The sequence below is a fragment of the Homo sapiens genome, chromosome 8 (assembly GCF_000001405.40).
Source record: "Homo sapiens chromosome 8, GRCh38.p14 Primary Assembly".
In the NCBI taxonomy this organism is placed as follows: domain Eukaryota; kingdom Metazoa; phylum Chordata; class Mammalia; order Primates; family Hominidae; genus Homo; species Homo sapiens.
The window spans coordinates 17,318,070-17,335,722 of NC_000008.11; the positions used below are offsets into that span (position 1 = coordinate 17,318,070).

Sequence of the window (17,653 nt, forward strand, 5' to 3'; positions counted from 1 at the left end):
AAAAATCCACTCATGCACTCAGGATGATGATGGGAAGCCAGTCTCTGCCTGGACCCTGCATGAGGAAAACAAAAATCTCTCCTGAGATGCTGAAACCCTGGGCCTAGTCTCACACATGTTTGGGATCCGAACACACCTTCCTTATGCACGGAAGCCCCCAAGATAAGGAATTATCATGCTCGGGCTGGGAATCTCACAGACACCCAGCAGACGTACACCAAATGCTGCTTAGGAGCAGCGCTTCCACAGTTCTGTGGAGTCCACAGAAAAAGCTGGGCTGAAGACAAGTTTACAGCACACCAGTGAACAGCGTTCATGATAATGGCTAGCAGGCAGAGGAAAAAAGGTACAGGATGAGCACCCCAAGACCCCGATATGATAGAACAGTCATCTGGAACAGGCTTTAGGTTACTGGAACTGCAGCAGGAGGATGGACGGCTCCCACAAACATAACGGATAGTGTTCCCGATGGGTCTGGACTCGCTCTTCCTGTGGTTCCAGGAGGAATCGCTGTTGGCCACTGCAGTGGGGTCCTACCGCATCATGTCAGCTAATTCACAGCCAGGTTTCCTGAGATTCTCTTGTCTGGATGGTTCCAGGTTAGGGTCTGCTACAGGTATTGTGCATGTTTGGAAGGTGACGTGAAGTGGCAGCTGATGAAGCTGTCCCTGCCCACTCCAATCTGTCCTCACTCCCCTGCCTCTGATGGCCAGTTCTGTGCCCCCCAGGGACAGCTGACACAGGAGAAGCAGCCTCCACAGGCATCCTCTCCAGCCCCTGCTGCAGGCCTTCACCAGTGACTTGTCCTCTGCTCTTCCAGGCACCCAGCCCTACACCCTCACATCTCCAACGTCTCCTGAAAACAAGAGCACTGCTCATTGTCCTGCTTCCCTGATCGAACTCACCGACACTTCCAAATGTTTTTAACAGCAGGGATTTCACATTAGCTTACTCTGCCATCTTGGGGAAATAGGAGGGCCTCCTTGTTTAACTTAGATTTTAGTATTATGTGAACTGAACCATACGTCTGAGTAATAATCATGATATACGCATGGGCAATAGCACGTAGCAATGTTTAAGGGCTTCAGAGGCAGACACAGCTGCACTCAAACTCCAGCTCTGCCCATGCTCAACATGGTAACCTGGGCTAGTTACTGAGCCTCGCTGTCTTCAAATATAAAATGGGGATAAAAACACCTTCCTCAAACAGTTGTGAAGATGAAATAATACCAATAAGCATTACACTGGCATAAAGAAGATTCCCGAAAATGGTAGCTATGATACACATTGTATTATCTGTGCCTCCAGCAGGGGTGTCCTGGGAGGAAGGAGCTGTTAGACTCACTCAAACATGTCAACGCTGAAGCTCCGAAAAGTTAAGGCACGAAGTGATCAACAGCAGAAAGACATCTCAAATGCAAGTCTTCTGAGAGACAAACCTCGAGTTTTTGCCACCACATCATGGCTACCTTGGTGGGTTTTACCAGAAATAATAATAATAATAGTGACACTTACATACCAGGTACCAGACACTATGCTTTATATAGATTAGCTTTAGCTTTTCAATCCTCAAACAATCATTCTGAGGAAGGCACTTATTATTCTCATTCTTGATTGTGGAAACCAATGCAAACAGAGGCTAAGTGCTTGTCCAGCATCTCCCAGCTGATGGATACGTGGTGAGACGAGGCTCCAGTCTGGCTCCAGTCTGGCTCTTAATTAATGCCTCTCAACCTCAGGTTGGTTTTTTTTCATAATTCAGCAGGAACCAATCTTGGTTCCCAAATACCATCAGCTTAAAGGTTGTGCTTTCTATCACTTACAACAGTGCTGCCCTAATACAGGACTCACTAGTCACATGTGGCTACGAAACACTTGAAATATGTCTGATCAGGATTGAGATAGATATGCTGTAAGTGTAAAATATGAATCAAATTTTAAAGGCATGCTACACACAAAAAATGCAAAAACACTTCATTACTAGCTTTTTATACTGATAATGTTGAAATAACATTTGGGATAGACGGGGTTAAATAAAATACATTATGAAAATTAATAATATAAATATATATATTTACATAACATATGAGATTTTCTTTTTACTTTTAATGTGGCCACCAGAAAGTTTAAAATTCCAAATGTTTTCTGCACTTGTGTCTTGCATTTTACTTCTATGCACAGTATTGACTTAGACTGCTCAAGGAAGCTGAATCTGATCAAAAGTCTTCAAACATTTTTGCACATGTACCTCTAAAATAAAATATGAAACTACATATTCCCTCACACACCCTGAGATGATGCATGATAGCAAGACGGAGGGTGTGGTAAAGGGTATGTTTTTTTTTGTAAGGTGGCAACAAGGCAATTGGGAAGGGAGCTGAGAAGGGAGAGCTGGCTTAAAGCTGGCCCCAGGAGCATTCTGAGAGGCAGGTCATGTAATCGTAGTAAGGAGGACATACAGAAGCTGATGATCTAGAAGCCAATTTCCATAAAGTAATGTACCCAGGGTGCAATTCAAAAAGTCTTCCTGTGAATTCAGGGGTGCATGGACCCAATTGGAAGACAGCACAATCTGATGCAAAGGCCAAGTGCCAGCCCCGAGTTAAAACTGAGCAAGCTCGGCCCTTCTGGAGATCTGATGCCTTGTGACAGTGCCCAGCAATACCAGACAGGCCCTCCAAGCATCAGGCTCACTTCTGCCTATGCACGCGGCCCTGAAACACGGCCCAGTGGAAAGCATGGCAAATTCCAGCACCCTCCATGAGCTCTCACCACTCCCTGGGCGCCTGCTGTTTGGGCTTTCTGTCCAACCCCAGGCCATGCCCCAAAGTGTTCAACTTAATCCTAAAATACACACATTCCACTGCGTGAAGTCTCAGGATGCAATTGATTCCTCCAAGCCTTCCATAGATAACATTCTCTTGCAGTCTTTTTTTTTACTGAACAGGCCAAACTTTCCAGTTGTTATTATAGGGCTTAGGGCTAGTTAGCATTCTCGTTGATTATAAGTTCAGGGGGCCTGAGGAATACCTTGGCATCTAAGCTCTGACGCTTAGCCCAGGAACAAAAGATCCTTTTCACCACCTTCTCTTCCCACAAGGCATGGAAATGACTGCAAGTTTAAAAATAAAGACACTGGGCTTGCCAGCTAACCTGGAAATGGCCTGTGCCAAAAGCAAGAGAGGAATGGATGGCCACAGGACCAGGCCCTAGAATGTCCTGCCAGAGAGAATGTCCCCACGCTTCTCTGTCCAGTTAGCTCTCAGCAATGGGACAGGCTGCTGTGGCTCTCACCATGTCAGCACTAACAAGGCTTCTTGTTCAACATTTCTGTTTTCAGGAGCATTAACATTGCGTGTGCTAAGTAAAATAACCCCACCAGTTTCTCAAGCAAAGTTAACCACTGAGAGGGTGTTTTCTTCCCCTGTGTGCTGAGTGGCAGTGTGAAAAGCAAAGAGGTCTGCAGATGATTAATAGACATGGGCAGATGGGGATACACTTGAGACCAAAGCGATTAGCGCCTGGATTTTTAAATATAAAACTGTTGGGTTTGTTTGGATAAACTCAGGATAAGGCAGAAATACTTATTTGTTCACTCTTGTTGCCAAACCCAAACCAATATTTACAAACCATTTTGCTGAACAAAGTTCATTTCAGCTGACATCAGAGACATATGCCACAAATTGCAGAGAATGGGGCTTACTAATCCTGAGTTTCATGCCCAGGTCTAGTGATATTTGTTTTATATAAAAGGACAACTACATGTCACAAACATATATAAACTACAGTAAAAAAATAAAAAAGCAAAGACAAAAGATATAATTTTAGGACCTCTGCAAATGTGGAATTTACTTAGAAGAAAATAAGCCTCAGATAATCTGCCTTAGGTATTTCCTATACCACTCTTATTTTCTCCTATGCAATTGCTGGTGGGGTCAGTGAGGGTGCAGAAAAAGTCTCCATTTGAACCCTGTGGGGTTGGTCTTTCTTGTACCCTGAGATCTGAAGTTGAAACATATACAGCCCTCCCTTGATTACCAGCCCAGCACTTGTCTGAGTTCTGCCTGTTGGCTCTGTCCTCTTCCCATTTTGGAGTCATGAAGCCAAGATCCATAAGACAGTCTTCAGAGAACTGGCAAAATGATGATAATGTCCCTCCACTGAACATCCACCAGGTGAAGCCATTCAAAGAGGACTTTATTATGGCCTGTACGAGCGAAGTGTTTAGGCTACACAAGCTCATCACCATGTGTTCCAGAATACTATTTACCAATGGCCTAAAGAAAATCAAGCAGCAAGTTCATAGAATAATGTGCTATTAGTATATATGAATGTGAATTTTTGTGTCTAAAGACAAATTCACAGTGTATCATGGTAACCTGTACTATCCTAGGTTTAACACGTGGTAAGGAAAAGTGAGTATTAACTGCAGAGGTGTGTAAAACTTTGCAACAAATAAAAAACATGTGGCTGGGCACATTGGGTCATGCCTGTAATCCCAGAACTTTGGGAGGCCAAGGCAGTAGGATTGCTTGAGCCCAGGAGTTCAAGATCAACCTGGGTAATGTAGCAAGACCCCATCTCTACAAAAAATAAAAATAAAAAATTAGCTGGGTGTGGAGGTGCACGCCTGTAGTCCCAGATACTCAGGAGGGTGAGGCAGGAGGATCACTTGAGCCCAGGAGTCAGAGGCTGCTGTGAGCTACAGTTGCATCACTGCACTTCAGCCTGGACAACACAGGGAGACCCTCTCTCTTATTTTAAAAATATATGTATGTGTGTGCCCATTTCTGTTACATCTGCCATATGTAAATAATGGGGCTTGGTGCTTTCATCTTAATGAACCTTCACAACCTCCCATCTAGAGTGGATTGAATTATCTTTTTTTTTTTTTTTTTGAGACAGTCTTGCTCTGTCGCCCAGGCTGGAGTGCAGTGGTGTGATCTCGGCTCACTGTAACCTCCACCTCCCGGATTCAAGCAATTCTCCTGCCTCAGCCTCCTGAGTAGCTGGGACTACAGGCATACACCACCACGCCCAGCTAATTTTTGTATTTTCAGTAGAGATGGGGTTTCACCATGTCGGACAGCAGGTCTCAAACTCCTGACCTCAGGTTATCCACCTGCCTCAGCCTCCCACAGTGCTGAGATTACAGGTATGAGCCACCACACCCAGCCAACAGAATTATCTTGATTTATTAAGGAGTAATGGGCTCAGATGCTAGCAACACAGCAAATACACTGGGGTCGAAATCTACATCCCTTGACTCCACTTTCCATATTATTTTCACTAAAAAATAGAGAATAATTAAAAGTCAATATACAAACGGAGCCAGGATGAACAGGAACCAAACTGAAGGTAGGGTTTAAGGGATGCTAAAATCTAACAGGGAACTCCAAGCAAATGGCACAAGAGAAGTCGACACTGGGAAAAGATGGGGTGTTGAGAGGCTGGAAAGTCCGGCGTGGATGTAAAGTGGTAGGCACTAGAGAGGAGGCCAGGAATCCCGGAAGACTGAGATGGTGGCTGCCAGTAACTCAAGTGGTAAAATGAGCAGCACTTGCAGCAGAGGCCGCAGGGGTGGGGGGTCATTCCACACACCTCATGCCAGCTGAGAAAGCTTCCAGGACCAACACTCCTATGAACTTTGAGACTGTATTGTCACTGGCAAGCAAATATCGAACTGCCAAACCCCACCTAGAGCCTTATGGAGAAAGCTCCTTTTATCACTAACATTAGCCACAACTGTCTTGAGTTTGATGGGCTACACTTTCTTCTACAAGCACTCATTTTGAAGCTCTCCTAGTTCTCTGAAAATCTGCCATCTTGGTTAACAGAACAATAATTCTGAAGGTGAACATTTTAAAATTAATCTTTGAACTGTCTCAGTGCACTGCAAAATAAAACATCGCTGAGAGAAATATAACTACTATTCTCTCATTAAATAACCTTCTTTTCTTTTGTCCCTTTGATAATGTCAAACGCTTTGGCTTTGACATCCAGTTAAAACATTCAATGTGACTTACCCAGGGAAGGCCCTCAGTGACATCACTAATAAACAAGCAAGATCTTTCCTTCCTGCCATGATTTCTGCTCTAGGTCAAAATTGGTTACTTCTTTCAGAATAAATGAAGGAAGCACTTGTCTATCCAATGCCTGGCATATAGAACACTCTCAGTAACTGTCTGATGAATAGATGAGCGTCTGCGATAAATGTCCCGGCTCCTGTGTGTTAAGTACTTACTACAAGCAGGTATTGTGCCTGAGGCTCTGCATAATCTACCCTACAGGGTAGATGCACTCTCCATCTTCAGATTGGAAACAGTGGCTTCAAGAGGTTTCCCAGGCCATCCATGGTTACATAGCCAGTAAATAACTGAGCTGGAATCCATTCCACCGCACATGCATCCATGCTCTTCCTCTAGCCTCTGCCTCTGCGCTTAGTGTTGGACGGTCCAGATGGGCAGATCCCATCCAGCACCTGAGCAGCTGTGTTTGAAATCCTCATACAACACCAGAGAGGCAAAAGCACACATACTTGATCCATTTCCTTCTTCTAAATGACCATGTCGATAGCCAGTGAAGCCTAACAGGCTGCTGGTCTAGCAGAACACTTGTTAATAGGCCATACAAACTGCTATTTCCATGTAGAGCGACCTATTTCCACTTTAATGGGAAAATGGGTTTTCTATGTGGAAACCTAGGCCAAGGTGCCAAATTTTGAGAAAGAAATGACTAGATTTTCAGGTTATTATTGGTTATCTCCTCCAATAGCTAAGTAATCTGAGGAAATTAATAATGGTTAAAAACTGAGACTACAGAAAGCTGGAGAAGGACCAACCTTTACAGCTTTTCATTAGCTCACATCTGGTAGAATTTCACAGCATAAATTTGCAGGTAATGTGATAAAAGAAATACTTTTAAATGAAAAGCTTAAATTTGCAATATCTACAAAGGGCTGAGTCCATCTTCCATTTCCTCAAGGTTGAATTAGCCAGCACTCCATAAAGACATGAGGTACGGAAGAATGTGTCGAGCAAAAGGGACATCGGAACCGACAGCCACAGCCTCTCCTCTCCAAGCAGAGAGAACTATTTCAGAGAAACCACTGGAGCTGGGTGTGTCCGGGGCTCTTCCCTTTAGACTGCCTCCAAGGCACCTTGGCAGGGAGACTAGAGCAGGCATCCAACATGTGACCGTCATACCCACCACGATGGTGCCTCCCACGACAACTCCAAGTGCTCTGCCTCCAACCATCCTTTCCACACCGAATGAAGATTTCAATCCATCAGGCCTCAAAACCTTTGCGTGGAAGAACAGATCGGGTATCATCTCTAGGGCCACCTGACTTTGCCACAAAACATTCTCCACAGTCAATGCCCATCATGTCAGGGAACATTTTTTTAAGTGGTTCTATTTTGAGGCCTGCTAAAAAGATTCCAGTCTTTTAGAATGGATCTGCTTGGCCCCCTTTCATTCAGTCCCTGACCGTACGATCGCCCACATGCCTGAGCTGACGCGGGGCCTGCGTCCCACATGCTCTGGGCTCACTTCCCCTGCTCCACTGTCAGGCTAAGATTTGCAAGTCCACAGAACAACTTGCTGAGAAAATACCCAAAGGCCTATGTCTTGTTTATTAAATCATTTTTGATGAACGTGCGCTGATTGCACACAGACCCTATCACGAGACAAACACTTCTGAAACTGTGCTCTTACTTCATGTCTTTTGAATAAAGAAATTCAGCAAATGTACCCATAGGAAGGCATGGGGCCTACCAAATACTTGCCTGGCTGACTGAATTCACCTACAGCCCATCAACGTATCCATTTCATTGAGTGCTTATTTTCAAATACATTATTGCTTCCCAAGAGAAAGCATACCCACCTTACACTGGAAAGCACTTTATAGTTTGCAAGAAATCCTTTTAATGATCATGAATTAAAGTGGGGAAGATATGTTGCTTACATTGCTTTACAAATACAGAAAATGAGATTTGTTCAAGTTTACGCAGAGACTCAATCAAGAACCCAAACCTAGGACTTCACACACTGAGGCCAGGGCACCTTCCATTCCAACCCACTACCTCGAGAGGCAGAAAAGCCTGGTGGTTAAGAGTGAGGCATCTGCACTCACAGTAAGTAGGTAAAAATGGTGGTTCTACCACTTACTATTTTGAGCTGAAACAGGTTTCTCAGGCTCTGTGCCTCAATTTCCTCATCCGTAAAATGAAGATAAGAGTGGCAACAACAACTTCAATGAGGTTTACTTGAGTAAATACAGCTTAAAAAATCTGAACCGTGTCCAATACATAGTAAGCCTTCCATAAACGTATCTTCATTACGATGTGAGGTGGTTATAATGATCCTTGCAGTTCATATAATGATCCTTGTGGTCACAAGCTGTGAGCTTGTCTTACATCAGAATCACTACTCAACAACGATCACTGTAATATGATAAAAAGTGCTAGGTTAAAATACTGCTTTGTAACGTGATACTGGAAAGGATGTTTTTAAAAGACAATTTAAAAGTGTAATACACCAGACTCTGTAACTGGAGAGAGGCACTCCCACTGGCCTTGAAGAAACAGGCTGCCATGCTGTGAACAGCCAACATGTGGGGCCCTCAGCTGAATTCTGCCAACAACCATAAGTGCTTGGAAGTAGGTTCTTCCCTGTTCAAACTTCCTGATGAGAACGCAGCCCAGCTGCCACTTTGACTGCAGCCTTGAAAGATGCTAAGAGGGTCCCTGAGTTCCAATTTATGCTTGAGAAACATCCAGACTCCTGCCCTACAGAAACCATGAGATAATAAATATCATTTTTTAAAAAAGGAATATACCGACCATAGCAAGTATTTTGTAAATAAAGAGGGAAAAAGGGAATAACATCAGTCTTATCTTTCCTTGGTAATGCAGTGACCATTCTGCACATGCTCTCCTAGTCTTTCTTCAGACATATGATTTACTGTATAGTGAATAAGAATATGCAAGCAATTTTACGACCTGAATTTTTTGCTTACATTATACATATTCTCCCATGTTAGTACATATAGTCTTCACATTTAGTATTTTTCATGGATGCAAACTTTTCTATCAAGAAGGTGAAGTAAAATTAATCAGTCTACTACTGTTAGACATTCATTCGGCTTCCAATATTCTACTATTATAAATAAAACACTACTATCAACATAGGCATGTCTATATCTTATTTTATTTTTGAGACAGAGCCTAACTCTCTGTCACCCAGGCTGGAGTCCAGTGGCACGATCATGGCTTACTGCAGCCTCAACCTCCCAGGCCCAAGTGATCCTCCCACATCAGCTTCCTGAGCAGCTGGGACTACAGGCACACACCACCACGCCTGGTTGATTTTTTTTATTTTTTAAATTTTCTGTAGAGACAGGGTCTCACTGTGTTGCCCAGGCTGGTCTCAAACTCCTGTGGCTCAAGTAATCCTCAATGTCTCAGCCTCCCAAAGTGCTGGGATTATAGGCATGAGCCTCCATGCCCTTCCTGTATCTTTATTTTTTAAAAACGTATTTTGGATTAGTCCCTAAGAGGAAGAAACCTGGTAAAAAAAAAAACTATCTCTAAACCAAATATATTATGTCTGTCTAAGCCAATTTAAATAATACGATAAATATTTAGAGCACTAGTTTTACCACATTCTTTTGAGTATTGAATATCTTAATTTGTAAAAAATTGGGTGGCAAATGGTACTTTGAGGTTTTAACTTACATTTCTCTAATTACCAGAGCAAATTTACATGTTTATCTACATGTTTATTTCAACTTACTGTTTACTCTTTTAAAAAATTATGCTTTTTCATCTATACAGTACAGATAATACCACATACTGCACACAATTGTTGTGAAAATCTCATACAATCATTTAAATGAAAATACTTATGAAGTGTGGCAAAGAGCAGTTGCTCAATTTTTAGTTTAATGAATACATTGATGAATAAGTGGTCAGTGAAACAATGACCAACAGTATTAATCTAACAGTCACGTGGAAGGTAGGCAGGCACAAAGCTACTCGTGGGGAGAAAGTGAAATTTTCTAGGTGACCTCCAAAAGATGGCAAGTTGATTGGCAGAGGAGGAAGATGTCCCTGTTGCTTCTTTCCTATCAGTGCCTGCTGACCTTCAGGGCAGATATGAAGGGTGTCCCAGTGGGGCACACCCTCAACAAGTGGAGAGATGCAAGTAACTCCATACACCTTTCCACCTTCCTCTTCACCACTTCCTCCCCAACACCCAGGATGCCTAAGAGGTAAAAGCTCCACCTCTGCTGATAATAATAGGCTGGCCTTGAAAGGGACTATTCCAGGCTCTTCTACGGACTGTTTTAATGGATGGAGCTGGAAGCCATTATCCTCAGTAAACTAACTCAGGAATAGAAAACCAAGCACCACATGTTCTCACTTAAAAGTGGGAGCTGAACAATGAGAACACATGGCCACACGTAGGGGAATAACACACATTGGGGCCTGTTGGCGGGGGTGGGGGAGTGGAGGGAGAGCATAAGGAAAAATAGCTAATGCCTGCTAGGCTTAACAGTTAGATGATGGGTTGACAGGTGCAGCAAACCATCATGGCACACGTTCACTTATGTACATCCTGCACATACCCCAGAACTTAAAAATTTTAAATAAAAAAAGAAAATACAGGGTATCCTCTTATTACTTGAGGGAAAAGCCAGTATCTATATTATCAAAAGGGAAACTATCGTGAAAATCACTTCATTAAATAACAAAATTGCTTGCTATGTGACTGAAAGGCATCATTTTCTCTCCTTACGAAATACAGATCCCACAAAAATAGTTTGGTTGAGACTTACAAATGGAAGTTAAAATTAGATCATCTCTATAGAGGACCTACACAGGATGTGAACTTGGTCCTAGATTTCAGTTTCTGATGAAATACCTTGCAGCTCTTGCTCACAGACAGCTGTTTGAAACCAGAACGCAAACAATTTTACTTTTCTGTTATTCAGAATCTATTCTGATTATATCCATAACAGTAGTAAAAAATAATTCAGAAAATAATAATCATGAATGAAACGCATCATTCATTCCTCTGCCTACCAAGTGACCAGTAGTATGAGCCTTCATATCTCTTTGATGCCAAGGATAGCTGTTTGAAGGAGGAAAAGCCTTAGAAGGTGGGTCTGATTGCAACACTTCATCATCAGCTCAGCCTCCGCAATGGTTTATAATTTACTCGGTAAAAACAGATAGTCAAACATTGGTCAAGACCACGTACAGGCATCCAGAAAGATATCCTAGCCTACTGCACTGCACGTAGCTGGAAAAGTTACGTGCAAGCACCATGTTCCCTTATGAAACAGACAGCTGCCCTCCAGAACTTGGTCAGTTTGCATGTTCTTTAGAAAACAGTAGTGTCAGACCACAGGCATAAGGGCAGGAGAAATGGTTCCTGACGAGAAACCAAAGATTACCCATTTAAAAACAAAAGCCAAATGTGTATGCTATCAGCACTGGTAGGAGCAATTTTCTGCAAAGAAGAATATTTATGTTCTCCAGGTCATCTTATGAAATGACTAAATAAAAAATTTAAATAACTTAAGGGTCCTGATAAATGATGAACAGTCTTCAGACTAAAGTCAGACTGCCTTTCCAATAACAGTACCAAGGAGTCCAATTTTTCAACACATAAAAAACATAGTTTGTAGCAGGAACAGCCAAACTCTGCATGATAATCTCCAAAAGTTGAAGCTGCTCAAATAATCATGCCCAGGGTATGATCACTGTGACCTGAGACAATGTCAGGTATTGTCACTGTGACCTGAGAGACTGACTGCCAATTATGTACAGAAGATGGAAATGGCTCTGGGGCTGAGATGTTTTCAGATGTAGGAAGGGATTTCTGCTACAGAGGGGCATCAAACTGTCACAGCTGGAAGACCCATAGAAAGTATTGGCCTAATCCTGTCATTCTGCAGCAGGTAATGCAGCCCCAAACAAGTTAACTGATGTGTTCAAAGTTTCATAATGACTGAGATGAACCAGAAAGTCCAGGAAACAGAATGGAAATTAGGCCTGTTTGTGACACTCAGATTTCTCCAACCCCAACGTTAGGGTGTTCTGATTAAACGAAGAACGGCTTAAGTAACTGAGAGCAAACGTGGATTCCTGGAAAAAATAATTCAGCACCTTATTTGTCCCTCTTCATTCCAGAGCCTGCATTTCCCATCAAGACAGCCCACTTCCCGGGCTCCCAGCTCCAGCTCTCCAGGGCTTTCCCCAGAAGCGCAGACAGTGCATGGACAGCCAAGGCACAAGGCCATGGTTTCTGCATCCTCTGTCTTTTCCCAGTTCGCAGAGCCGGAAGTGGTAGACTACAGCGACAGATTCCTCTTGGGGTCACTGTGATCACAAGGAGCAGAAGCAGCGGACTAAGCTGGTTTTGCTTGAAATGCAGAATTTCTGCTCATCAGCATATGGCTGGTTGGCCACATGAATAACTCTTCTCTATTACATAATCCATCTCTTTAATTTCCTGTCCACACGAGTATATAAGTCTGTGGGTACGTGTCTTGTCATGTTCGCCATATATGTCAAAGTGTGTGTGGAGGTGGCGGGAGGTTACATGCATGTGTATTGTGGTGGCTGCTGTTTAGAAATGAGGGTCAGCTCCTCCGATATTCTCCCTTCGAATGGCCATTCAGCAAGGATCAGTTTTTGAGCCTGATCTCCATACAAGAATGGTTGGTTATTGCTTTAAATGTAGGATTGCCTTATTCCTAAATGGCCTTGAATGGGGATCAAACTAACATTATGAGGAAGAAACAAAAACATCCCTGTGCACTTTGACCTTAGATGTTCAGTACCATTGTAGAGTCCCTGACTGCTAACCACCAAGCGACAAAACCACATCACAGTGATGCTTACAAATAAGAGAAACGTTCTTAAGTGTTTAAAAAGCCACTGTAACATGATATTCTTCCCAAATTATCACACCTATGTAAAAACATTTTAAAATCAAGACTATCTTATTCCCTTTTGGCATCAAAATACTTAACTGCATTTTAATGCTGTGCATAAGGAAATGGTTTACCTTCCAGCATTTTCTGCAGACTGTTCCTCATGACATGGATGTTCTCTATCCCGATAAACTGAAACTTGATATTGGAATAATTGTCTTCATTCTCATAGCCTTTCCCTGCAGCACGATTTGCCATTGCATTAAGCTGCAGTGGTCAGCAAAACAGAACAGTCATCAATTACATTGATGAAACAATGATGAAACAACCAAAACATTTCATGGATACCCAATCAAAGCATTCAGAATGATGTACGGAAACATAATACGCTTATTTGAATCACTGCAACCTTGTACTGAACTACATAGCTTCAGGGACTCCTGCTGAGCTTATATTCAACAGCATGAATTTGTCAGTGTGGGTCACATTTTCTTAGCTGGAAAGCAGTCTACTGATAAACCCTTCTGGAGATGTCACTTGCAGTCCCCGTCAGAGATGCCAAACTGAATGTGGAATTCTGTGATGGAACCAAGTAGTCCAATTTAATACCACACATAACCGGTAGGTTGGCAGAAGAATATCAGCAGAAACAGCTGTCAAAATAAGGCTCTATACATTATTATATCTTCTAGTATTAGATTGCCAATAAACACGTTATCAAATAGGAATGGTTGCATCATTCTAATTTGCCCACAAGATCCCTCAGATGCCCAGTTAAACCTTGAGCAGGAATTACTGAATAAAATGAAGAGAGGGAATGCAACCAAGTCTCCAGAGACATTTCCACCAGCCGCCTTATTTAAATCTAGAGATCTATTGGGCTTTTTGATCACTTTCATTATTATAATTTTGCATATGAGAAGTTGGGGTCTCCAAGTGCAAACTAGGTTAAGTCACAGTGGTATCTGAAGAAGTTTATTAAATCCAAACACTGTCCTAGCCTGCGTGGCTAAAATCAAGAAGGGGACAAGTCCTACTTTAGCTGGGAAATGCATCGGTTTCTAGAATGTGTAAACATTCTTGCTATTTTATTAAGCAGGTCATCACATCCTAGAAAACAGCATTCGCTGACCATTCTCCTCCTCCACCCACCAAGGACAGGAGGGCTAACCCAGGCAGAGAACCTACACTGAGAACTCACCACCAGAAAAAAATATCTGCTTTTAAAAGCACAGTGCACAATAGTACTTTTTAAAAGCTAAAAGAGCTAAGTTTAAAGTTAAAGACACATATGTTCTTTGACACAGATCTCCTAAAAGTCTGACAAAATTAAAAGTACCAGCACATAAAAATAGATGCCCAAGAATGTTTATTGAAAAAAGCTGAAAACCCATGACTATCTCAATAGGACAATGACAGGATACACAATGGTTTATCATGCCCTGACCTGCGAGCAGTGACCAAGAAGGAGGGCACAGATCACACAGCAGACAGACAGATGCTCTGAGGCTTACGATGGGGTTATATCATGATGAGCCCATTGGAAGTTGAAAATGCCGTAAGTGAAAAGTGCATGGCAAACTGGGAGCTGCTGCCGCTGCTGCTGCCCAGCATCACAAGAGAAGTACACTTTCTGAATGTCTATTGCTTTTGCACCATTGTAAAAAGCCACAAAATCATATAGGTCGAACCATTAAGTCAGAGACCCTCTGTGCATAGACTTGGCATTGGCCCATGACAAGTGAAAAGAGTAAGCTACAGAATAATATTCATACAATCATCCATTTTTATAAAACCAACTTATAGATATGTATTTAAGTTTTTGCGTGTTTATCAAGCAGAATAAAAATGTATAGAAAACGGTACCAATTTGGCAGCAATTACAGCAGAAAGACAGCATGGCAGGCGACAGGAGAATGCCATCAGTACTACTTTGGATGCCCCTGTAATCTTTCATTGATACCGAGAGCATATATGAAGTTTGTAATTGAAATAATAGAAATAAAGTATATTAGAAGTGAAAAAAACAGCAGAGGATAAGCCATTGCCATAGGAGCCCAGGCTGGCAGACACCTCACATTTCAATAGCAGCCCTGCTCCATGACGTGGCTTATGTGACATCAGCTGGGCCACATCAGCCCCTCAGGACACTGTTCCCATCCACAAAAGGGTGTCATCTTTCTCCCAGGCATGCTACGAGAATAAAGAGTTTGGCCTTAATCAAGAAAAAAATATTAAAATAATGCATTTTAAGACAACTTATGTTCACACTTTAAGAAGTATAAATATTTTATAGGGAAAACTTTTGTAAAATTACCTATAGACATTGTTCTTCCAAAACTAATAAAATATCACTGCTTTGTATAATTATTTTTCAAAGATGTTGGTTTATCCTTTATAACAAGCATCATAAATAAAATTAATAGGAGATTTGAAAGTATCCTTACGTGACATGAACCTTACGTTTATGCTGTATCTTGACTAATTCAAGTGAAGCCTATTCACCACATACCACAGAGATACTCTTTTAAAAAGCATAAGAAAGAAAAACCAGCCAGGCACAGTGGCTCATGCCTGTAATTCCAGCATTCTGGGAGGCAGAGGTGGGGAGATCTCTTGAGCTCAGGAGTTCAAGATCAGCCTGCGCAACATGGCAAATCCCCATTTCTACAAAAAAATGCAAAAATTAGCCAGACATGGTGGCATGTGACTAGTCCCACCTACTTGGGAGGCAGAGGTGGGAGGACTGCTTGAGCCTGGGAGGTCAACGCTGCAGTGAGCTGTGATCGTGCCACTGTACTCCAGCCTAGGTGACAGAGCAAGACCCCATGTTACTGATCATTCTCCTCCTTCACCCACAAGGGACAGGAGGGTTATCCCAGGCAGAGATACAAAAAAAAAGAGAGACAGACTACACAGTCTACAAAAGTTAGAATGTAGAATAGATTTTTTAAACATAAACAAAAATTAAAATATTATTTTAACCTATAATTAAGACTCCATGTACACATTATGAAATAGCTGATTATCCTTGATCTGGGAGAACTGATTGGTAATCTCCCTTAAAAGCAAAGCAGCAACACAAATAACCTCCTGAACATCAATGTGCACTTCTCAGAATGAACAGAAGGTGGCAATATTTCATCTACCAGCTGAAGTGTAATTTCTTAGGATCTCCACCTTTTTTACAGGACCTATCCTGATAATGTAGCAAAAGCTGAACCCTCAAAGCAGGAGATACGGTTTTACAATTAATAAAAATTCAATGTTATCTTGGACATTTTACGTGTATGTGTGCGCAGTAAGATACGGCATCCCTTACATAAACAAATCGCTATTACTACATCAAATACGGTCCTCTGTCCCTTTGACTGAGAACTCCATTTCACAACTAAAGAAAAGCTATGCATTTCAGGTCCTAAAAGTTCTCAAGTAGATAAAGCAATAAAGGTAGTCACTTCAGTTCCAATTCATGTTTAAGAAACACACAACAGATAGGTGAAAAGTAGGACTGCAAAAATACCCTGTTTCCTAACACAAGGTTCATTTGCTGTTTGATAATATCAGTGTCTTTGGGTGCAGAGAAGTTAATAAATGAAGCAAAGTCAACACTGTATAGACACCTACTATGGCCAGGCGTTAAGTGGAATCAAAAGAAGCTGTTCCTGTTGCCTTCAGCTTAGAACTGACAATGGAAAGGAAAGCACATGGCACCCAGTGGTCCCAGATGACATCCACCAGGACTGGGCAAGAGCTGAGCAACGGGAGAGACAGTGACAATGACAGGAGTTGAAATCTAAGGAAACTCTGTCGGCCTGGGGATCAGGGGTAACGTTTTGTTTAAGAGAGAAAGCTAGAGCTGGACTTTAACACAATCTGTAAGGATGGAGAGAGAGGGGAGGGCATTCTACATAACCAATGAGCGAACCACTCCAGGTGAAGACGAAGGTTCCTGTGTGGCAGCTACAGCAAGAGGGAAGGCTAGAAAGCACTGAGGGTCCACTACAACAGGCCCAGCCAAGGAACTGAGGCTCCACCTGTGGCAGCGGAGAGCAACTCCAGGATTTTGAGCAAGTCTAACTGAAAAACTGGAGACTGATTTAGTGTCCACAACAGAGAAGATGCACAGGAATAAGGAGCGAGCAGAGAGGGATGGGCACGGAAAACCTCAGCGCTGACAGAGAGGAGGGACGGAGAACGCAGGCTCCACGAGGGGCCCTGAGTGTCTCATTGATGGCCACATCCGTATCCTTCAAACCGGCATGGAACAGGCACTCAAGGAAGATTTACTGACCGGCTGAGCAACTGCATAAATGACTGGATAACAGAATGAGGCCCGGGGAGAGCAGGCCAAGACTGTGAAGAAACAGCATGAGATTCTCACCCTAACCCTGAATCAATCAAATGTAGAAAAACTCAGTCTGTGTTCATCTTGGTATCAGGTTAAAGGTCAGCCTGGTCACTGCCTTAGTCCTCAAGTCTACCATTTCCACAGCTACATTTAATGCCTGAAGAATGACAGTGCCTACGCTGACATGGTTGGGAAATGACCGTACAAGCTGATCTTGGCAGGAGGGGGACTTGGTCTTGCCCTAACACAGGTGGTCAAATGACGGTCTTTCTCTCTCCCTCCTATATAACTGGTTACAGGAAGAAACTTCACTTGTGGTGCAGACACAAACATGTGAGTTGATTTTATTCCTTGCA

General features: G+C 42.6%; 2 protein-coding genes across 12 annotated transcripts in view, besides 2 other annotated features; one reads left to right on the plus strand and one right to left on the minus strand.

The window, feature by feature from the left end:
- Nucleotides 1-15,386, plus strand: part of VPS37A (VPS37A subunit of ESCRT-I) — an 86,498-nt gene extending 71,112 nt beyond the window's left edge. For all 7 annotated transcript variants that reach the window (XR_007060695.1, XR_007060696.1, XR_007060697.1 and 4 more), the window contains one exon: nt 12,201-15,386. The gene's annotated coding sequence lies outside the window, so the exon portion shown is untranslated. The remainder of the gene's footprint in view (nt 1-12,200) is intronic.
- The window catches only part of MTMR7 (myotubularin related protein 7), a 116,558-nt gene that overhangs the window by 21,276 nt on the left and 77,629 nt on the right, over nt 1-17,653 (minus strand). For all 5 annotated transcript variants that reach the window (NM_004686.5, XM_047422407.1, XM_011544693.3 and 2 more), the window contains one exon: nt 13,081-13,213. In NM_004686.5, coding sequence (NP_004677.3) covers nt 13,081-13,213 — 133 coding nt within the window. The remainder of the gene's footprint in view (nt 1-13,080; nt 13,214-17,653) is intronic.
- Nucleotides 8,426-8,595: an enhancer, noted in NCBI's record as "experimental_102346 CRE fragment used in MPRA reporter constructs". NCBI's record gives its function as "activates a minimal promoter by MPRAs in K562 erythroleukemia cells, with activity observed for the introgressed 8:17184089 variant allele {active_cell/tissue: K562}" and the evidence as "EXISTENCE:reporter gene assay evidence [ECO:0000049][PMID:34662402]".
- Nucleotides 16,411-16,705: a silencer, noted in NCBI's record as "tiled region #2048; HepG2 Repressive DNase matched - State 1:Tss". NCBI's record gives its function as "represses a minimal TATA promoter and a strong SV40 promoter by Sharpr-MPRA in HepG2 cells {active_cell/tissue: HepG2}" and the evidence as "EXISTENCE:reporter gene assay evidence [ECO:0000049][PMID:27701403]".